At 33.2% G+C, this 24,010-nt stretch overlaps 1 protein-coding gene, 1 long non-coding RNA gene and 1 pseudogene across 9 annotated transcripts in view, besides 1 other annotated feature; 2 read left to right on the forward strand and 1 right to left on the reverse strand.

The window, feature by feature from the left end:
* The window catches only part of CALCRL-AS1 (CALCRL and TFPI antisense RNA 1), a 544,253-nt gene that overhangs the window by 411,845 nt on the left and 108,398 nt on the right, over positions 1-24,010 (forward strand). The gene's annotated exons all lie outside the window — the stretch shown is intronic.
* Positions 1-24,010, reverse strand: part of CALCRL (calcitonin receptor like receptor) — a 106,289-nt gene that overhangs the window by 73,154 nt on the left and 9,125 nt on the right. For 2 of the 6 annotated variants that reach the window (NM_001369435.1, XM_005246232.4), the window contains exons 2-3: positions 21,481-21,539; positions 16,180-16,247 (exon numbers count right to left, since the gene is read on the reverse strand). The exons of 2 other annotated variants lie outside the window; for them this stretch is intronic. The gene's annotated coding sequence lies outside the window, so the exon portion shown is untranslated. The remainder of the gene's footprint in view (positions 1-16,179; positions 16,248-21,480; positions 21,540-24,010) is intronic. 2 more of the 6 variants (NM_001369434.1, XM_047442888.1) reach the window with 2 other exon arrangements.
* On the forward strand, positions 433-931 carry GAPDHP59 (glyceraldehyde-3-phosphate dehydrogenase pseudogene 59; annotated as a pseudogene).
* Positions 20,005-20,299: a silencer, noted in NCBI's record as "tiled region #13492; HepG2 Repressive non-DNase unmatched - State 13:Ctcf". NCBI's record gives its function as "represses a minimal TATA promoter and a strong SV40 promoter by Sharpr-MPRA in HepG2 cells {active_cell/tissue: HepG2}" and the evidence as "EXISTENCE:reporter gene assay evidence [ECO:0000049][PMID:27701403]".

Genomic DNA, 24,010 nt, shown 5'->3' on the forward strand with positions numbered 1-24,010 from the left:
AGTTTTCTATGCATCCTACTGGTAAAAGTGTGAGAGCTCCAGATGATAAGATAAAAGGGATATAGAATATATGAAAAGTCCACACTAAGTAAATGCTTAGACAAATGCTTCCTAAATGTTAGGACTTTTGCTAAAAGCTGTGCTTATATGCCTGCTTTTGAACTTCTCACATGAAAACGGGTTTTGAAAGAACATTAGCGAATAGTGAGCACAGCCAAGGCAATTCACAAAATGTGTCTGTGGGCAAGCAGATTTGTCTTCAGGCCATGATTAGCAAACAAAATAAAACAAACAGATTTAAAAGGTGGCATGCTTGAAAAATATCAAGACACAAAGGAATCAGAGGAAAAATATACATCTGAAGTGTACTTAATAATATTGAAATGTTATATAAACTTTTGTGGTATCTAACAATGTTTGGGACAGGAAACTCTGCCAATGTGTCAGTGGTGGACCTGACCTGCCGTCTGGAAAAACCTGCCAATTATGATGACGTCAAGAAGGTGGTGAACCAGGCATCGGAGGGCCCCCTCAAGGACATTCTGGGCTACACTGAGCACCAGGTTGTCTCCTCCGACTTCAACAGTGACACCCACTCTTCCACCTTCAGTGAGGGGGCTGGCATTGCTCTCAACGACCACTTTGTCAAGCTCATTTCCTTGTATGACAATGAATTTGGCTACACCAACAGGGTGGTGGATCATGGTCCACATGGCCTCCAGAAAGTAAGACCCCTGCACCACCAGCCCCAGCAAGAGCACGAGAGGAAGAGAGAGGACCTCATTGCTGGGGAGTCCCTGCCACACTCAGTCCCCCACCACACTAAGAATCTCCCCTCTTCACAGTTTCCATGCAGACCCCCTGAAGACGGAGGGGCCTAGGGAGCCTGACCTCGTCATGTACCATCAACAAAGTCCCTTGTGCTCAGCCAATAATAATAATACAGGTATAAAGTATTATTGAAAAATGCTAAGAGAGTGGATGTTGTTTGTAGCACAAAATGCAACTCTACTAGGTAACGCATATATTAATTGGATAGACTTAGTCATTTCACAATCTATAGATAAATCAAAACCTTATGTTGTACATGATAAATGTGTATAATTTTATCTGTCAATTAAAAATAAACAAATTTACTAATGGTAATCTAATAAAGTAATGTTTAAGCAGGACATTCAGCACTTATAATTTCTGTGTGTAAATATCTAAAATTTTTCATCTTGAATGATACAGAGTTACCACGTCATACTGAATGACATAGAATATCTTCTGTACTCCTAATTTCCCTGTTATCCTAGTAATAGATCCAAATAGATACAAGAGTGGCCCTGTTTCTTACACCTAAATAAAACTTATTAAACACAGATAATATTACATACATGAAAAAGGAGAAAAAATAAAAATATTGGGAAATGTAAAGAAGAGCTAGAAATAAGACATTAAAAGGCCTTGTATTTTATTAAAAACTCTTGTGAATGCGGGATGGTCTAAAATTTTGAGTCTGATCCTTCTAGTAGATCAAGTTACCAAGTGTATGGTCTGTGGTATGAAATTAATCAATTTCTAGGAAGAAATGCTATTATACTCTGAACTAAATGCAAACAGAAAATGTAGGATTCTCTCAAAGAGAACATTCTGTAATTCAATGTATATGTTTCTCACGTGAATTACAATAATAAAAAATGTGGCAAGTTGCAAAGGGCTGTTTCTTATGTTCATCAATAAAGACCTATAATCAGGCATAAAAAAGTATTCTATAGCAATTAAATATAATGTGGTCCTTCAATCTGTTGATTTGACTTCACCTAGGAATAGACTTTGAATTATCTGAAAAAATAAATGCACTAAATATCCTTTGAGTAACCCTGACTATATATTCTTTCTCTTGAAAGGGATTTTTAGTAAATATATATTTGATAAATACAATTCTTGACGAATAATGAGGGTGAAGCTCTCTTACTGGAATAAGATTGAAAGCTTTTTGTGTCTGAAAATAAAGGCCATTTACTTTCTATACTCAAGTGAATTTTAAAATGTATTCCCAAGACAACGTTTTTCAAAACTAATATATAGATGAAAAAACTAATTGATGTTTCAAAGATATACTCAGAGTAGCATAGTTAACAACTACAACTATGACAAAAAAACAAAAAACAAGCAAACAAACAAAAAACAAACCCATAAACACACCAAAGGAAAGAAAAGAAATACTAAAAGCATCAATGGAACCCAGAAAAGCTACTTTTGGAATAGCTTCCAGAATAAACATCTTGTGACATTTATGCTGGTGAGGTTTATTATTGTATAGACTTCAATTGATTTCAATCCAAATCAAATATAGATTTAAAATATTTGATGAAATATATGCCTGTGTTACAGATAATATATGCTTATTTATTTTCCAATTTAAGCATAACTCTTAATAATTTTTAAAACAATTTTAACATGCCTTTGACCTGTAATGAACAACTACAGAACCTGAAAGTTGATTAAAGATTCAGTAGTAACATAAGTAATATTTGTGGTAAAATATTGATTTAAAAATAATGTAAACTACATTATTAAAGCTATTTAAATAGGCCATGGGAGTCAGGGAAGACAAAAGGTCTAAATACTTTTCTCTTCAATATTTTGTTTTATGGAAATATTTTTATATTGAAATAATTGTATTTAAATTTAGATTTTGTGATAAAAGTTAATTTAAAGGTATGAACTATAAAACCACCACAGGAAAGAGGATAATGTTTCAACAGTTACTTGTTAATGTAACAGTTTATACAATAAAAAGTAACCCACAGTATAGGATTTTTCACATTTACAAAGTGTCAAGTGTTTACTTCTTCATCAATATCGCCTACATTTTCATTATTTAACATCTTTGCCCAATTCCCACTGTAACCAAGTGTATTTCCATGCAGTCAAGTTACTACCCAGCTTAGTTTGAGGTTAAATGTAAAAAGCTTTGACGTTTTCTGTTCTCAGAGTCCTCCTGCAGAAGCCTTTGTTCTGACCTTTCACCCACACCCCCAGGACTTCTATTCACTAAAAATGTGGAATTATCCATGCTAATCCTGGAATTCTGGTCATTAAAAGAAAAAAAATTGTGTATATCATTCTCTGCATCAATTTCAAAAGTTATTCTTCACACCTATATTTAGAGATGCAGCTGAAGCTTAAAAATATTCAATTGGGCATATAATTTTATAAAAATAGAGCGTTCTAAAAAGAATTGAGAATCATGTAAAATTTAACCTGTTTTTACTGGATCTATAAGTCAATATAAAATATTTATTTTTCTGTGTACATTCCCATATCTACTTAATGACACTGTATCATGTTGATTTTGTCTTTTTTCTTTCATTAGCCTATATATTCTTCATGAGAGTAAATAAAACTAATCGTGTCTTAAATATCGACTTCTATTGTTATTTTGAATCTTCCTAAGGGTATAGGTCAAGGTTTATTCATTCTTACCTTACCTTCTGTTTTAGCATTTAAGACAGCTCATAGTAGACATTGGAAGATTGGTTAAATTGCTATTTAAATGACCTAGAATACAATTGTTTAAGTAATTTACCAACCTTTGCAAAGCTGAATTATATTTGTGTATTCTGTCAATATTACATAATATTAAGGTTCTGAGATGTGTTCTTTATCTTTATTCAGCTTTTCCTATATTCTAGAAAATTTCACCTTCTTCATAATAATTTCTTAGAAACTTGTGTTTTTTTTTCTTTTTTTCTTTTTTTTTTTTTTTTAGATGGAGTCTTGCTCTGTCACCAGGCTGGGGTGCAGTGGCGTGATCTCGGCTCACTGCAACCTCCGCCTCCCAGGTTCGAGCTATTTCCCCTGCCTCAGCCTCCCAAGTAGGTGGGATTACAGGCACGCACCACCACGTCTGGCTAATTTTTTTTTTTTTTTTTTTTTTTTGGTATTTTAGTAGAGACGGGTTTCACCATGTTGGCCAGGATGGTCTCAATCTCCTGACCTCATGATCCACCCGCCTCGGACTTCCAAAGTGCTGGGATTACAGGCATGAGCCACCAGGCCCTGCTGATACTATGGACTAAATTGTGTCTGCCCCCAAATTATATATTTAAGTTCTAACCCTCAATCTGGTTATATTTGGGCATGACACCTTTAAAAAGTGATTACGGTTAATGAAGTAATAAATGCGTATCCCTAATCTAATATGACTGATGTCTTCCCAAGAAGAGGAAGAGATGTCAGGGATATGCAAACACCCCTGTGAGGATGCAATAAGAAGGTGACCCTCTGCAAACAGAGAAGAGAGGCCTGAGGAGAATCCACACCTGCCAACACCTTGATCTTGGACTTCCAGTTTCCAGAACTGTTACAAAATAAATTTCAGTTGTCTAACCTTCTAGTCTATGGCTTTCATTATGGCAGCCCTTGCAAATTAATACAGTTAGCTTGGGCCAGCTCACAGAACTTAACACCAAAGTGAAAGCTGGCAAAAATTTCGAAAATTTTATAAGTGGAATTTTTTAAATTATCTAATTTTAAACACTTCCTTATTATTGAGTAGGCCATTTCATTTTTTTCAAAGATAAAAACAAAGAAATATATTTTAATTTGCAGAAGAGCAACTTATGTTAACTGAAGAAAATGCTTACTGAATATGAAGTTAAAGTAAAATGTGTTAAAAGAGCCTCCCTTAAATTATTTTAGCTAGAAGCATAAATCTGTCTCTAAACATTCTGTGATAGCAAAATGAATATAAATAGCATATTATGCCATTATAAATAGCAGTTTTAAGTGATATGATTAATAACTGTTAGTTCTGGAGTCATATGCTAATCTTTGTGGAAGCAGAAGCTGGCTCATATACTGACAACCTCTGTTTGCCCTACTAATAATTCAACCCCTAGTTGCTATTGTCACATTGAACTACAAATTCCTAACAGAAATTACTCCAAAACCTAGGAAATGAAACAGATGCTAACATTTCAAGAAAGCCTTCAGGACAAGAACATTAAAAAATCATTTTCATGTAGTGCTTGAAGTAAATCAAATCTGCTGGTATTTCATGTGCTTAAGCGATCACAGCTTTCCCAGCCAGTGAGTATCTTTAAAAGAGAGGTTTCTGTCTTTCATATCAAGTATTATTTTGATTAAAATAATCATTTAATGAACTAGATCTGGAAGAAGTCAAAGGTCTTTTATAAGATTATGACATAATAATATCTTAGAAAAATCTCTTATTTACTGAACCACTATTTATTTTCAAAGAATAGGAAAAACATTATGATAAAGCTCATCGAAGGTATAACTTATATAGGCTAATAGTTATACTTAGATTTCTTCTTCTTTGATTTTTTTTTCAAAAGAAAAAAATTTTTTTTAAGTTTTTTAAAAGAATGCATTAAAACCAGTTATAAATTCTTGTCCACTACTGCCAGGAAAAACAATAAATCAGTAGGGCCTCATGCAACTTATTTGGAAGTCCAAAATTGATGGTAAATATTATAATATGAATTTACATTTCAGAAAAATATATGTTCAAGTGCATTGTGAGTGAAAAAATAATAATTTTGAAATATGCATGTAAGAGATGTACTCTTCTGAGAGTAGAGGTGTAGGGAACACTAGGTTCAGAACAGAGGAAGAAAGAGTAAATTTTTAATATCTAGTCTTGGTTTATTGATACACAAATACAGTAATAATCCATATCTAGAGTTTTACTTTCAAATAGATTTAACATATCTGAATATTGGATACTTTGCATGAGTTTTGTGAAAAGATTGAGTTAAAGGTTTCAAAGCCATTTGAGAATTTCCTTTGAACACACTAAAGGGTATCTGTGAATACTGGCTTATTATATCATGGCTGATTTACAATAATTTACGTGTTGCCTTTCTTAGCTGGAACTGTATGTGCCAGGAATAGATTAATCCTTATGGTTACATAGATCAGCAGCAAGACCTCCCACGTGGAAGTACCTATATTCATCTTTGTCATCTGAAAATAACTTTATTAGAAAATATCACATATCTTCTTATTGCCAGCCAGGTGACTCATAGGAAAGTACAAGATAACTGAAATCAGCTACATAATCCTATAGTTCATGCACTATTTTCAAACACTTTGAAACTTACTGTTGGTAAGTAAATGTTTATCTTAATTATATCTAAATAATCTCTTCCATAATTACTCTTGTGATTGAAACCTTGTTAGGCCTCAGAAGCCTCTCGATATCAAAATAACTCATAAATTCCTACTTTTATTTGCACCTCAGAACATGAGACTTCCAGCATCCTGGAAAGTTCAAGGTGTTTCTTAAACTCTCTAAAGGGATGGTTTGCAAGCCAGTCTCTTTCATAGGACCACCATAGGCCATTCTTTCTCTAACAGTCCGATTTAATTTGTCCATGACTTCTGCCTTTATAGTCAACTGGAATGCCTTTACTCTTGCTACTATGTACTATTTTATGCTGACACTATCTCCTGATGCTCTCAAAGTCATCAACTCTTGGGCTGCCAGAGTCCTGCTACATTCTGTGCACAACTGGTGAAAAATGGCCTTCAATTTTACCCTCTGCTGTGTTGCCATCTGGGCCCTACGGCAGCACAATTCCTGTCAAGTGTTTTATTAATTCCCTCATAAAAACACCATTTTCATCTTCAGCTGTCTAGAAGCTCCAAACCAGTTCAGTGTCCAGTAAGCATAGACACCATGCCACCCTTTGAGCCTTTACATTCTCATCGTCGCAAGTTGGATCTCCCAAACAAAAGAAAACCATCCAACTTTCTTTTCCCTCTTCAACAAAATTCAAAGCTTCTTGGCACATTATTTCAAGCATACAGATGCTGGTGGGAGTGTAATAGGAAGTGGACAAAAGGAAAGATATTTGGACCAAGTATTTTATCCTGGCTCCACCTTATGAATAAAAGGAAAGTAGACATTGTCAGGAATTCACTGATGTAGCATTAAAAAATCTATTACCAAGAGATCAAAGGTAGCTAGCAGGAAATAAGATAAAGGACTGACACCCAATTGTATCCACAGGGCAAGTGTTTTTATTACTAAAATTCCAATAAAAAATTAGTGTTTCTAGAAAATAGATATTTATATCTGTGTTCAGGCAGATTAAAAAATCAATGAGTTTTAAAAATTACATTTAATGAACAGAGTGATTTATGGTTTGTTTTTGCTTTACTAATGTGCCAGCTCGATGTCTCTAATAACAAGTCTGGCTTGATAGCCCTGCTAACAAATCCAGCTTCATCTAGTACAATAGAATATATTTTTTCTGAATTCATTTCCATTTACTATCTGCTCAGTTTCTTAAATTAGAAAATAACTTGACTAATTCAATGGACAATGGATTGGATATGAATCTAAAATGAGGCAGTTTCCTGAAGCCCAGACTTAACTGTATGTGGCAATTTGCTTTGGGGCATTGTGCAAGAGAAGGTTTCTCAAATTTGTCTAATAATAGTGAGGCTCTTATAGTAAATATCACAGAATGCTTTGTTAAATTTGAAGTTCAACACATAAGAAAATGTCCAGAAGAACACATTAATGTCCAGAAGACATTACCTAATCTTGTCTTTTAGAAATTATCAGCAACATTGTGTTGCTGATAACTTCTAAGAGACAAGATTAGGTTGTTTGTGGACATTTATGGAATAGTCAGTACAAATGTATTGAAGAGAAATGGTATAATTCTGATTGTGACACTAGATTACTATTCTGTTTCTTTTAACTTTCTTGCTTCTCAATTTTTAGTGTAAAATATGAGGGGGGTATATTAAAAAGATAAAAGGATCTTTGTAATCCTAAGGAGCTAGGAAGATAGTCTACTAGAAGATATAAATATAGGGATTTTGAAAGCTCTGTGTTCAGAAATGGCATCAAAGTAATAAAGTTCCAATAGAGAAAAGGAATTACAATTCACATTACAGTATTTAGATAGGACTGTAAGAGAAATAAATAGCTCTTCCTTATTTCTCGTTTAAAATTTCAGACAAATTTGACCTTCAAAGATATGTCTGAACAATAACAATAGAACATAATAGAAAAATTGTTCTGACTGCAAAGAAATAGACCTTTCCCAACAGTCACTTCAAAATGCAAACCAGAATGTATGGTCTATATTGTTTTTAATTTAATATATCTATGTGAACAAGCATACTTCTTCCTCATTTTCATTGCATAAATTTTTACTTGGAATGCCTTTGAAGTTAAACCAATGTGCTTCAAAGTTACATGTATGTATGGTTTTTTTTTTTTTACCAACTGTACATATGTCTACAATTTCCCACCAAATATGGTATCAAATATGTAGAATCTGAGATGTTATAAAAGCATTCAAAATCATATTTTCCTCATAAAGGAAACACAAAATTGACCTTAATAGGATATTATTGAGGAATATTTTAATTATCTGGTTATAAATTCTAAGGTTTCCCAAGATTTAGAAAACTTACTCTTGGATGGCAAAATTTACTCTAAAGTATTTTGCAATTGTGTGTGTGATAGTGTTTGAAGTGACAGGGAAACCTATGTATCCTGGAAACCTATGTGTCAAGGCATTGTTTTCTGGATCATTTATTGGCATATCCAAAGGCTTGGGAAAAAACTTAGGATAAATAGAGAATAATGAACTTTTTCAGAAATAAATAACTAAGATTACTCCATGCAATAGAATCCCAAATGATTTGAAGTTAGACTTTATTATTAGTTATACAGTAAATGTGATAAACAAGTTTACCCTGTGTGATACAAAAAATAAAAAACTGCAGCATGACCATAATTTTTTCTTTATAGATAAGGGGCTCTCATGCTTAAAGTCTGATTAACATAGCCACATCTGATTTCAAAATATAGATATGCCCAATGAGGTAGTTCTTCACAATGGGAATCGCTGGTTAGGTGTTGGTTACCCAATTTCTTTTATTTAAAGTTTAATGGATATTTGATGCCATATAGACAAAACATTTGGAAGGAGTTTCAAATTCCCATCTGGAGATAGGTGTCATATAAAACAGCCTAAAAAAAATAAGAATGGTTTAAAAGGCTTGCTTGAGTTAACTAATGGTTGGCAGGTCCATTTGCCAGGCTTATTGAATCAAGCTTTACCCTCCTTTAAATGAGGGGTCTGTTTTTCCTTGGCAGGAATGTTTTAGATTCAGCATATTAAAAGCTGCAAATATTTGTGTTGGGTTTTCCTTTGTGAGCTATCTACAGCAATGTGAGAGAGCGAGTACATTTAGCCACAGCAGGAACTTCCCATAAAATCACAGTAAATGACTGTGCTTTTCTTATAAGCCACACCCTTCCTAGGCATTTCTCAAATACTTTACATAGAAATGTGTTCACTTTAACAAAAATCAATAAATGCAAATATTATTTCATTTGTTTTCATTAACTAGTAGAAATAGCAGTAATATATTGTTAATTATATTAGCAGGACCCTATAGCTTAATGCAACAAGTCAAAAGGCATCTGGCCATTCCTAAGTATTGTGACTGATGGAGTAATATAGACAAAAAAATTGGATAACCTTGGAAAAGTATGAAGATGTGCAGTTTACAAAGAGCTGGCTGAAAATTAAGGAGAAATGGCAGATTTGAAACCGTGATAGGTATAAATGAATTGTGGTATGGCCTGATTAAAAATTTTACTTCATCATATTCATACTGGAGTCTACATAATTTGGGAAGAAGAAATATTTTGTCAAAACTGATATATCCCATAAAATATAACTAACATACTTTGCAGGGAAGCTTAAGGAAGGCCTGGGAGACAAAATGGACAACAAATGTAACAATAATAATATTTAAGTGCAATAAGGTTTTTTATAATGTCATTTTTTAAAAAATAAAGTTTTTTATAATGTCTACATAAGGGAAATCAACACTGCATTGACTATTAGAATTAGTTTGGGGGTCTAATGGACTATTCCTGAAATTTGGACTGAGGGGTCAGATTATTAATGGTAGACCTGAATTTGTCTCAAAGAACAATGTTTTGGAATCTAATAAAATCTCTTCAGATACTCTCTATTTAACTGATTGCTTGTTTCAAAGGTCAATTCATTTTGGAAAAAGATTATAGATTTTTCTCACATTTTATGACAACATAAATGTTGACAACTTATGTTTTTGTTAATGTATAGTGTTATTCATTATCAAAAACAAAAACAAAAGCAAGCTATTTGCTAATAGTCATGTCACAAATATAATTATTATACATAGAATTATACAGACCCAGTTGCAATGGACCTTTCTTAACTTCCTTATAATTTATTATCCTTTTAAAACACAAGAGAAACCCATTTGGTATCTTCCACCCATAGCTTGAAAGTCTTATATTTATTTGCTTATTAGTAGTACATTTCCATCTGATACATGTAATATTAGGTTGCATTATTCTAGATCCAATTTTTCCTTCTGTAAGTGAAGTTTATGAAATAAGGTTAGTTGTTCTAGTCACAAATGCATTGTACAATGAAAAGCATGGCATTATAACTCACTATATTTTCATGATAAGAAAAAAGTATGCATATTTATTGATAAACGTATTTTAAGTGTATTCCTTATAGTGCGGGAAGTGCAAAGATGAATGAAACACTCTAGTAAAGAGCAGTGTGCTTCAAGTTTTTCTGTTGACACCTTGTGTAAAATAATTTTGAAAGAACTTCAGCCATTTCAACTGACAGATCAGTTGTAAAGCATGTAACTTTTGGCACATTTTAAATGTTGACATTCTAAACTATAACTGTTATATCATTTTTAAAAATTCACAATGAAACATAAATATAAAAGCAATTCAATATCTACCACATTCATTTAAAATAAATGAGTTCTTCACAGCGGTTGGAAATGGTACTTCATTTCTTTCTCTCCTTGAAATCATATCCCAGTCCACTACCCACCCTTCCTGTTATAGAATTTTATTCTATTAAAATTTATTTTTATACTTTAAATTATTTTTAGTGATACCCTGAAAGAGAGCCAGGAAAACTCATTATATAGAAAAAAAAAGGAATAAAGGTAGCACGGAGCAAGAAAGAAGATAAAGTGACAGGGAAATAGATCATTAGATGAGCACGTAACACTTTAAAATCTGTGAAGTTATGGTGTCTGTCATTTATTATTTTTTTTTTTTGCAGACGTGTGCATTGCTGTGATGTAAATCTCTTCTAATCTTTTCTCGTGAAAATCTTTACCCTGCTCTAAAATGTTTTGCAACAAAATTTGTACACAGATTAACATTTTATTTTGAAAGAATCCTGTCCAAATGGCGGCAAATGAATGTTTTTAAAAAGTTCTTCCAGATTGCATTATCACTACAACTTTTATAAAAAATAATGGCAATAATTATCATGTTGATAATAATAGTGGCTAACACGTCTGGAAGGCTTACTAAGCTTCAAGCACGAATCTATACATTACCTATTTATACCTCTACTTGTAGCTATCTATTTATATAGAGTGTCCACCAGGTCTGGAAACACAAACGATATATAATAAATGATTCACTGATATATATTAGATTGTAATACTTTCAAAAAGTAATATTTGATTTTCTAGAGTTATGATCACCTTACAACAATCATGTAAGGTAGGTACTATGCTTAACCCAGCTTACCTATGAGGGACCTGAAGCTCAGTCAGTTTATTAACTTTAACATGTGATTAAAAATTGATTAATTCAAGAGTTGAATCAGGCAGGCTGGTTTTAAAGTTTACACTCAAGATCAAAATGCATTATTATAGACTTTGATATATATTTTGATTCATAATTCATCTTAAACAAAAGTAAAATTTTATTTACCCTATATTATTTAATGAGATGAAGAAAGGGGAAGCTCACATGTCCTTTTGAAAGGAGGCTTGGCAAACATCAATGTATCCACCATCCCTGTCCCCTTGTTTGTGGCCTAAGAGATTGTTACACCTTCCAAAAATGCTCTCTAGTAAGATTCAGAATGGGTGATACAACACTTGTGTTTTTTGTGTGGGGAGGGAGACGTAGGTAAAAGAGGAAAAGGAAGATTGTGAAAAGAGAAGTGGAAAAGGATAACTAGCTGGAAGCTTGTAGCTTCGAAGTTTTCTCTGGCAGATCAGTTTTAGGAAGGAGATCAAATCGAGTTTGAGAATCAGGAAATTGATTTCTGTAAAAGAAGCTGTTTCTGCCTATGTGGTAAGGGTATGGATAACTCACTTCATAGGTCCTTGGTCTAGGGAAAAGTGTAACACAAAGTAAATGATGAAACTCAGTTCTATCAAAAATGAAAATGTTGTTGCATTTGAGAACCATTATGGTGGGCAATGTAGTAAAAAGGATAAGACATTCATCCTACTTTAATGTAAAACAAATTTGAAAAGAAAAAATGATAAGTAAAGAATTTCATGAAGGTATTATCGTCACTGCATATAATATGCTTTCTACTAAATTTCAATGGCAGTTTATGTTTACCTACCATATTAAATAATTGCTATTACATTGGTATCATAATTCCTCTTATGAGAGGAACTGTTCTTTCTGATAAAAGAAATTAAAAATCCACTTAGAGTAGAGCAGACTCTTGGTCATAAATGTTATCAGGTGCTCAAATATCAGGGGAAGAATTCTCCTCTCCATGAATCAAATTAGAAAATGCATTACTTTTACTCATGCAACAGAAGCTGGAAAATGAGTGACAAAAAGAAAGAATGGGGTAAAGACACAATGAAGTCAAAAAGAGAGAGGCCAAAATAGATTATTGGGAGAAATAAGTGACATCTAAAAATGGTCATTTCTACTATTTGATTTGAAGTTGTTTGCATTGGTAGTATGTGAACCTCTCCCATATCTGCTATCATGTAAATCTTTAATGAAGTCTACTGTCTGTGTGAGTGAAATTTTTTACAGAGATCAACACCAGGGCTGTTTCAGGGATCAATGCAAAGCAGAACAACTATATACACTAAAGAAGAGTCTGATTAAGGGCAAATTAACAAGGACATTGCAGGGAAGCATATTCATGAGGGATTCCACCATTTTACAGAAATAATAATAATATGAAAATCTTTTAGTGATGAAGAAGTACTGGTAGACTTTCATGGCACTTAAGATGAGACCCTCAAGGCACATGATCAAGGATGATTACCAGTACTTACTTATTTAAGCCAGTGTCATATTTAAGTCCCAGCTTTATTTTGCTGTGGAACATGTAAGTTAACATAAATGACAAGTCACACTGACCTCATTTGGTTGAATTTTAATTACTTTAATTGGAGACACTGCTCATTATACAGCAAAATGAGAATAAGTATTTGTAAACATTCTATTAACAAAAATGAATCTTTTGAATCTTTAATTATGACCTACAAGTCATTAATTGTGTCTCTCATACACATGGGAGTATACCTAATTTGAACTCTGAGAAATAGGACAGTGTGCTATAAAATTTTAAAGAGATGATAAGATGATCATTCATAAAATTGATTCATTAAGCAACACTTCAAAATACTATAAGCAGCCAGGTACAGTGGCTCACGCCTGTAATCCCAGCATTTTGGGAGGCCAAGGCGGGTGGATCACGAGGTCGGGAGATTGAGACCATCCTGGCTAACACGGAGAAACCCCATCTCTACTAAAAATACAAACAATTAGCTGGGCGTGGTGGTGGGTGCCTGTAGTCCCAGCTACTCGGGAGGCTGAGGCAGGAGAATGGCGTGAACACGGGAGGTGGAGCTTGCAGTGAGCCAAGGTCGCGCCACTGCACTCCAGCCTGGGCGACAGAGCAAGACTCCGCCTCAAAAAAAAAAAAAAAAATTACTGTAAGCATAACTTTTCTGGAGTATTTTCATATAATTTACAAATATATTTTTAGTTTATATAATATAAATATTGCTTCAATTTTAGCTGGATTAAAATTTAAATGCAAAAATTGATCTATTAAATGATTAGAAATTTATAAGTTAATATCTTTACTATTTTGGAGTCTGAAAGAACTTTCCACAAGATTACTAAACTTTACTGATAACTAGAAATAGATGCTTCTGTTGCCAAAATTCAAACTAGCCAGAGACATTTCCCTTTATATTTTTTTTATTTCCCACTTCTTACCCATCTGTCAAGTTTTGGTCAGCTGTATGATTACATAAATAAAACCATACAAAAAAAAAACCCTTGTAGTTAGAGGAATTGAACTATTATAAATCACATAGTTGGTTACAAAGAACTTCAGATGGTATTTTATTTCTAGCTATTATCTTTAGGTCAGAGAGTTACAGGCAGCTATTTCAGAACTTCAGAGCTGGGATGGACCTGAGAAATCTCACAGAAAAATCTTCTCAGTTTAGAGACAGAAATTAGGAGTTCAGGAGGGTTTTGTGATGTGCTTTATATTCCACGGCAGTGGTAGATGAGCTAAGACTGGGAGCCCCCTCTCCTAAGTGTCTGTTCTGTACTCCTTTTATTATGTTAAAATGGAAACATACATAATTCAAACTAATATGATGGCAAACTGCAATCATAGTTCTCATTTACATTTTTAATCTCCATAAAGATAATTTTTTCTACCTCTTTCTTGCTAGAATTGAAGTGAATTTACACCTTAAACTGCACTATTAGAACAAAAACAACTCAAAAGGCAGCCATTAACTTCTCACAGAAAATCTTTGCAATGCTCTACAAGTTCTGTGAGACCAGGCTAATGAAGAGAATGCACCTTTAAACTTGGACCTTTCATTATCAGCTACTTCCAATTTATCTTCTTCAAACTCTCAAACATGTTATAAGTTGAAAAACACACTTGGAAAAAATATAGTGTATTCCTCTCAGTGTTCACATGAAGACATGACTGATACACACAGATAGTGGAGGCCAAATCCAGTTCTTCCCTAGTAAGTGAATTTTCTCCCATTGTGCTCTCTTTCCTATATACCTTTATTAAGCAAACTTTGGGCCTTTTGAAAGTTGATCTGATATTACTTCACATAAAAACCATCAGGAAGAAAAATCCATCTGTCAGATATAAGTAGGCATTTTGAGCATTCAAACCTTGCTCTAAGGAACAGTGAGTCATGTGAAATGAAATGTGCAAAGGAAGCTGACACATGAAAGGACAGAACAACAATGATGAGTTCCCAAAGACATGCTGTGGGAGAAAGAACAATTATAGAGGATCTATTTTTGGGTCCAGCAGTATGAACTGGGAATTTAAAAATCACAGCTTAAGTACAGAAGGAGGAATGATGTCACCCAGCTTTAAATTTAGGAGAAAATAATTTAGTAGCCTTTAGTTTTAATTTAGGTTATTGCCATTTATTACGATGATACATTATTGAATTGTCAAACGTTTGCAGTCTAAAAACAAGTTAATGCAGGACATTTAATTTTGTAGGAAAGGCAGCTATGAGGTGTAACATTAATTGCATAATTAATATTTTATTTGCCATGGTACTATAATGCCAAACATAAATAACAAGACAAACACATCTGGAACAGCAGTCTTTCTGGAAGCACCAATGCCCCAAAAGCCTGTAGTTAATGCCCAGGATTGAAAATGAGACTCTCAGAGTGGCCAGGGAGTTCTAAAAATAATATTTAGAGTCATTTAAAGTTTTTTCTTCGCTTATAAATAAGGTTATCATCTTATGTTCCAATTATGAAAAAGTTTTACATCCATTCATAGGAATATAACAGTGACAATGTGAATAGAAAATAAGGAACTCTATAGAGAAAAGGAACTTAGTTCAAATGAGCAAATTAGCCCTATTTTATAATGTTAAACATAATTTTTTGTATATATCCATATAATTATGGTTATATGTTTTATACAGTATATATACATATAATATATGATGTCTGTGGCTAATTTTACAAAATAACTAATATTAATAAATCTAATAGGACACATTCAAATTAATTTAACACTCCCGGTAGTCTGGCCAAGAGAACAGCAATATGGAGACTAAGTCCACTGCCAAGGTGCCAAGGAAATAATTTTGTAAGTTTGACAGATGTCCATAATTCCATCTTTATTAATATTTTGTTAGATTGCCTTTCAAGGTTCTCTTTTATTCTAAAGTTAACTATATGCCTTTCCGTGAAATATTTCTTACTATTGTTAACATGGTCTTATCCTCAGCTTTACTGGAAATGCAACATGTTACTTTTATTAGGTCATGAATGTTGTTTTGTAATATATGCAATACCTGAAAGTAGGGCCATCCAAAGTTTTGACAGATGGTAGCACAAGTGGTTGGTGTATCATCGTAGGACCCTAGATGACAAGAGAACATTCCTGTGAATTTGGTAATATTATGAGTGGATGGTGGGATTTCTCAGAATTTAACCTCAAGTTAAATACTAGTGTGTTTCTTTGTTAAAACCATAAACATATATATTTCAAATGATACTTTTCAATGGAAAGTTGGGAGGAGACATACCAGGTATATTGAGGTTGTCACCATGCTAACCTGAAAGTAATCAGTAACTTTGTTCTTGGCATCATATGTCCTAAGAATAGGAACTCCAACAGGCACAAACATGGAGGCAGATAGTGCCTGTTCTTTAAGGTCTTGGCCCTAGGAAGATGTGTAATCTATGTATGAATGGCTCTGGTCTACAGGCTGGGGATATGGTAGTCCCTGCTCTCATGGAGCTTATATTATAAGGAGAAAAAAAAAGAAACAAATAAATATTAAAATGGCCAGTTTTGATAAGTGGTATGAAGGATAGTAAAGCAAGCTAAGGGAGAATAGGGAGAAATGAGAAATGTATGATGGTGGTACACTAGATAGAATAGTCACAAAAAGCATCTCTGAAGAGGTGGTATATGAGCAGTGGACCTGAAGTAAGAGAGCATACCAAGGAATGTTCAGGAGAATGGTCATTTTTAGAAGAAAGGATGACTGAGTCAATGGTTCTAAGGCAGGAATGACTTGGCTAGTTCAAAGTACAGAAAGAGAGTCAATATGGTCATAGTGGAGTGAATGAGGGCAAAGAGCATTCAAGAACTGGGTCAAAGAGGGAACCAGAGGCCAAATCTTGTCAGTAATGAGTTTTAAATCTCCATAAACAGGATGTTACTAACAAGTTAAATTCATTCCCTGTCAAACAAATATGGAAGTTACATAAATGTAGTTTACATACATCCTTTCAGGCTCAAACTAATGTTGAAAGCAAGACATAGCTAGTTTACCTTGCTTTGCATTTACACACTGTTTGAATTTTAAGAACTTGAAAAATGTCAGAATTGCATTTTGTGAATTATTTATCTTAATTAAGTCATAATGACATTTGAAAGGCTTTTAATGACCTTTTGCTTATGGAGCATCAATTTTCTACTATACCCAACAATAATCAGATCTATTGCCAATAATTTCTTTAAAGTCAACAGAGATGTTGACCCTCAAAATGTAAACCCTCAAAAATATTCAGAAAGCTTATTATTAAAAGTAATCTCTGCAACTGAATCTTTTGTAAATCAAAAATCACTTCCAATTATTTTGAAAAATTACCTTGTAAATGTTTACTCCTTCATGTGTTTTTAAAACATATTATATATCACTAAAAATTAACTAACACATTTTATAATTAGAATCATGTGGTCATATTAATTAGATGTGTATTTGTACATTGGCAAAAAGTCTGCATATACAGTCAACACACTGCATTAGGATGTTGCAGTCAAAGATGGTCCACATATATAACTGTGGTACCATAAGATTTTCATACTGTATTTTTACTGTACTTTCTATGTTTTGGTGTGTTTAAATACACAAAGACTTACGAGTGTGTTACAGTTGCCTAAAATATTTAGTACAGTGATACAGATTCGCATTCTAGGAGCAATAAGCTTCACCATACAGCCTAGATGTGTAGTAGGCTATCCTATCTAGGTTTCTGTAAGTACCCTCTGTAATGTTCGCACAATGACAAACTTGCCTAATGACACATTTCTCAGGACATATCCCAATCCTTAAGTGACACCTGACTGTATTTAGAATCTGGATTTCTAAAAGCTATTTCAGAAAAAATAAAAGTTCCTATTAGTCTCAGCCTTTATTGGCATACATATGAAATTTACCAGGTTCAAAGTTGAAGTTTATTTTGAGTATTTTCCCAACTTGCTAGAAAATACCACTAGAAGTAGAAATACTCAGAAGCATTATTTTTTTTCTGCATGGTTCTTTTTTCATCCCAGCCAAAAATGCTATGAAAGAATCTTTCCAGCTTTTTGGTGTTTGGGACATGTAAATGGTCACTTCTGGCTATCAGAAAATGTATTGATGAGTTAATTTTGGTTAATAAACATGTTGCATATATTAATAAAATTACAATGTATGTGTGAACATGTATTTACTACCTCTTCTGAAAAATATCGGTTATCTGTGGTATTAAATTATGTACTAAAATGGATTAATAGGCAAGAAGAAAGGACAAAAAGAAAACATTATTAAGCCCCAATGTGAAAGATAAAAATACCTAGAGAAAACTCAAAAGAAAGAGCTAATTTTGTTCAAGTAGCAAAACTGGCTGAAATGGTTGGACAATAAAATCCTAATCAACTAAATCTGGAAAACACAGAAAAGAAATACAGCAAATAGGGATAACACCTATACTTTCTTGATATAATGTTGCCATGGTGAAATATAACAACTTATCTGAAGAAAAAATATATAAACCTAAGTATATTTATGAAGAGAAAATCAGAACCTTGAAGAAATATACTGGTTAAATTCAGCTGATGCCTATAAAGGCAATCAAGTGAATTAAAAAATGAGGAATTATGTGAAAAACACAAACTTCAATGCTTTCTATGATGTTTTGACGCCTAAGAAATAATTTTTTACAATAGGTAGAGAGACACAATCACTCTCAGGAGATATGTAAGCTTCATAAATTATTGTAAATGTGCAACCAATTTTTAAAAAAGAAGACATACACACCCTGAATAGAATTATTCATTTTCTTCCTCTCTTTATTTTTCAAAGGAGATTTTGATAGATATTAGATAAAGTTTTTGAATAAAGAGAAATAGAAAGTTAGAGCTAAGATTCAAGACATTTTCTATCTGTGTTCTTGTTCATGAGAAATGTTATTCATACATATCCAATTTTAAAAGCAATAAAACATATTTTTGCTTTCCCTGGACCACCTAACCAAAGAGAGATACTTAATCCTTCTCTTAAATAGTTACAAGCAAAAAGTGACTTAATTATAACCCTGCAACATTAAGTCACTGCCATTCAATTAGAAACAAATGTTTCAGAGGAAAATTTTAATTCATTTAGCTTACAAATTCATTGTGACTCATAATAAGGAAAATGCAGATTAAAACCACAATGAGATGCTATGTTACACTCAGCAGACTAGCAACAATTAAAAAGTTTGACAATAATACACAGCATTAGAAAAGATATGACGCAATGGAAACCTCATACACTGTTGGTGGGAGTATAAATTGGCATAAGCATTTTGAACTGCTAGGATCCTGAAATCTCACTGAAAAATATATCCTCAAAAAATCATGGACATATGTGTACCAGGAGATATGTTAACAAAATGTTCATAGCCTCATTGTTTGTAATATCAAAACTGTGGAAGCAATCCAGATGTTCCTCAGCAGGAAAAAGGATAAATACATTGTGTTACATTCATACAATGGAACACTGTAATAGTGAAAGGAAAGAACCACAGCTATACCCATTAACAATGATTTATCTCAAGAACATAATGCTGAATGGAAGAAGCAAGTCTTCAAAGAATGTATTCAAGATAACTCCACTTTCATTAAAGTAAAAATAAAAGCAGAAAAATAAAGTAATAGTTTGCCCAGAAACCATATGTGGTAAAGTCATAAAGTAAAACAAGGAAATGATTAGTACAAGCTTAGGATAAAGGTTTACTTCTGAGAATGTCCATGTGAGTCAATCAGGGAAGAACATGATGGACAATCTTGGGTCTAGGCATACAGGAGTTTATTTATTTAAACAGTATATGTGTATGTGTTAATGTCCTTGTTTTGCTATAAAGAAATACCTGAGGCTGGGTAATTTATAAAGAAAATAGGTTGAATTGGCTCACGGTTCTGCAGGCTGTATAAGCATGGCTCCAGCATCTGTTTCTGGCAGAGCCTCAGGAAGTCTACAATCATGACAAAAGGGGAGCTGACATATCCTCATATCTCCTATCTCGTGGCAACAGAGGGAGCAAGAGAGGGAGCAGAAAGGTCCTATACTCTTTCAAACAACCAGACTTTGTGTGAACTAACTAAGCGAGAACTCACTTATCACCAAGGGGATGGTGCTAGGTCATTCATGAGGGAGCCATCCCCATGATTCAGTCTCCTTTCCACCAGGTCCCACCTCCAACACTGGGGAATCACATTTCAATATTCAACCTTCATATGAGATTTGGAGAGGACAAACATCCAAACTATATCAGTATGGTATACATAATATTCTACATACAAGAAATGTTCTTAATTATAAAGGTTTTTGTAGAAAAGTATGCAGAGTATAATTCCCTCCTAAGGAATGATGTATTTGTTATGAATCTATGTATCAAAATATATGAAATGCAATTTATTAGGGAAAGGTCAAGGGATCTGGATCGGAGATGGAGCTGCCTTATACAGTACTGATCCTATTTGAAAGTTTATTATGTGATTTAAATGTATAAATTATATATGATTTCAAGTTTATTATTATATACACAAAGGAATTTTGGAACAGCAATAATGACTAATCCTTGAATCAAGGTGTGTGTGTTTGTGCGTGCGTGTGTGTGTGTGTGTGTGTGTGTGTATTTACCCCTGAATCTGATGGTGAAAAGCGTCTACAAATTTGTAATTTGGATTATTACCAAGTTCCTAAGATTTTTAAGTTAGAATGATTCAGACAGGAAAAATGTGCCACCAACTCACAGAACTAATCATTCTCAGCCCAGAATTAAAATGGGAAGTATTACATACTTCTTGTTATTTATTGGTAGTTCAATATATATTTATAGTTATTATTTAGTTATTTGTAAAGACAATCACTTGATTTAAACATGCGTCCTACTTACTGACTTATTTTGTTATTGTTAGTTTGACTCTATTGTGTTATTATGCCCTATTCATACAACATCCAAAATACAGAAAAGAGAACACTATGTCAGGGCACACATGCATCATTTAAGCATCATCTCCATCTGTCCATTGAGCCATCCCAGACTCATTTGGTAGGTTCAGAATAAGTAGAGAGATTTTCACTTTACCAAACAGCACTGCTGCTTTAAATGTGGTATGATCAGTGTAGCCCAACCTGTAGAGGTCCTGAGAGACTGAGACAGATTTTATGACCCCTCCACTTAAAAGCAGAGTAATTATCTCGACCAATTGGGTTCAATCCTGAAACACAAGTCAGTTATTACCACCCAGGAGGTGGTATTTACTTTTCACAATTTTTTAAATAAATACTTTTCAGCTCTGATCAGAAGTAATAACCCTGAGACTTAACACTTACCATTGTCCCAGTCGAAAAGGCAGATAAGGCTTTACCATCCAAAAGTTTACACCAAGCACCTGGAAGATATTTGCATGTCAACTGAAAATGGTACCCACTGACATGCCCATTGTCCATGGCCATGTAGGCCAAAGCATCTCAATTTATGTGATTCAGCACTGGATTTTTATAATCTAACAAATTATATAAATCTAGCAAATCAAATGTCTTATTGGACTAATTTGTCTTCTTTTACAGCCTCTCCTTTTATCTTCTCTTTCTTTTCTTGTCTTTATTCTATGTGCTCCCCTTTTCTTTTAAGGTTTCTCTTACTTTCAAATTTCAAGCCTCCCTCTGATCTTTTAACTTGGTGAGCAATAATTACTAAGTTAATTTTGTTCTTAAAGTCATATCTTTCTATTCTTTAGTTGAGAATTTTGTTTGGATATACTTTGTTCTGGTTGGCTTTTCACTCTTTAATCTTGTTCCTTCCATTTCAAATTTCATTAATTTTTGGGTCAATCTCCCAAGCCTTCACATTGCATTTGTAAAAGCCACTGTCACCAGACCTGAAACAAAATGCATTGCTCTGGATTTACTCAAAAAGAGCAAAGTTTAGGATGTGCAACATTTTAAAATGTTAAATTCAATTTTAAAAACATATTTAAAACTCAGATACATATAGGCCGGGCACTGTGGCTCACGCCTGTAATCGCAGCACTTTGGGAGGCCGAGGCAGGCTGATCACGAGATCAGGAAATCAAGACCATCCTGGCTAATACAGTGAAACCCAGTCTCTATTAAAAATACAAAAAATTAGCCGGGCGTGATGGCGGCATATAGTAGAGACGGGGTTTCTTTCAAGGCTTTTATTTATGTAAAGTTTATCTTAAGTGCCTTTTACATTATTTCATCAAGCCTATTCAGATTAGAAATTTCCACTCTCTTGTCTTTGTAAAGACAGCCCTATTTTTTTTTCTATTTTAAGCTCCTTAGAATAAAGAAAATGTGTTGTAGAATACTGAGTTATCTTGCCATATATAAACTTATCAGAACAAATTGACTAATTTTAAAAACAAAATATAGTTTATGTTTTGTAATAATAACTTTATCAAAAATATGTTGTTTGATAATGACTGTATCAAATAAAGTCAGAAAGTTTAGGGATAAGAGTTAAGAAACAGGAAAGGATAGTGGTAGGAAGAAGCCATTTGACAATTTTTAAAAATGTTTTGAGTAATAGTTCATCTAAGACAGAGAGTTATTTAATCCAAACCAGTGTGCTGCTTATGATTTAAAATCCAGTCAGTAGTGTGATAAGAGAATATGTAGAAAAACAGTAAAATTACAACTTTGACACATTTTATATACATATTTTATCTGAATACTATGGATGTATGTTGACAATCAGTATTTTTCTCAAAGTAAAGTTATTGTTTTACTGAATGACATACATATTTGAACTCAGAAGAAAGAAAACCTTAATAGTGACATTTCTGGTAAATGAATAATTAGAATTCTGTTTTAAAAGAAAACAATAAAGTTAACACTGAATCTCAAACAAATGGGGAATCTAAATGGGAAAATAAAAGATGTATTATTATAATATGAGTTGGGTCCATTCATAATATAACTTGTGTAAAGATCCATAATGAGGCTTTCAAACAAATTATGATTTATTTAATCACAAATATGTATTTCAATTTATAAAAGAGTCCTTTGGCTGTAAGTTTAGAAAACTTCCATAACAATACAATGAGGTAAGGTCATTGACAGTTGGCATTGTTTTTAGAGTTATCTGTATTTATACATCAACACTGAAAAGCTTAATAAATTACAGACTGACAAACATGTCTGTTTACCAAACAGACGTAAAACTTTTTGGCAATTAAACAGAATTTGTATTCTGCTATAGATGTTTTTAGAAAAGATTAATTTTCTTTCCCTCAATTTCATTGCTAAGTTGTTTTTTTTTTCCTCCTTGTATAGGCTCTTTAGTGCTATTGTCCAGAAAGGCAATAAGTAACGGAATAAGGCTTTTGTTGGGAGGCAAGAGTTGGCAAGTCAGCCAGTTTCAACAAGAATTCTGCCAGTTTTAGCCATTGTGTGGCCACTTGGGGAAAGGCTTCAACATTTTATGTTAAAATACTGAGCAATCTTCTCATTTACCCTAATGTGAAAGGTCATTCCTTGGAATTTAGTAAAATCTGAACACTAAGTATATTACAGGAAGCATCTTTACTAACTTTTTTCCTTTCAAAGTCAGTGAAGAAATACATATTAGGTTGAAGTAAGAATAAAAAAATGAAAACTAATTTTTGAATATTTTCTTTTTGGAAATATACAGTGATTCTAACACCTTCAGTAATTTTACTCTGGCATCTCTTGAATAATATATAAACTCACATGAAGCCAATATCCAGTTTTCTGTGATTTAGACTCTAGTATAAAGAAACATTCATTCATTTATTCATTTAAATATTTAGTAAACAGTTTTGGGGCACCTAATATACAGGCACTTATCTAGGTGCTTCATATATATTAGTGAAAT

Source organism: Homo sapiens, chromosome 2, assembly GCF_000001405.40.
Source record: "Homo sapiens chromosome 2, GRCh38.p14 Primary Assembly".
In the NCBI taxonomy this organism is placed as follows: Eukaryota; Metazoa; Chordata; class Mammalia; order Primates; family Hominidae; genus Homo; species Homo sapiens.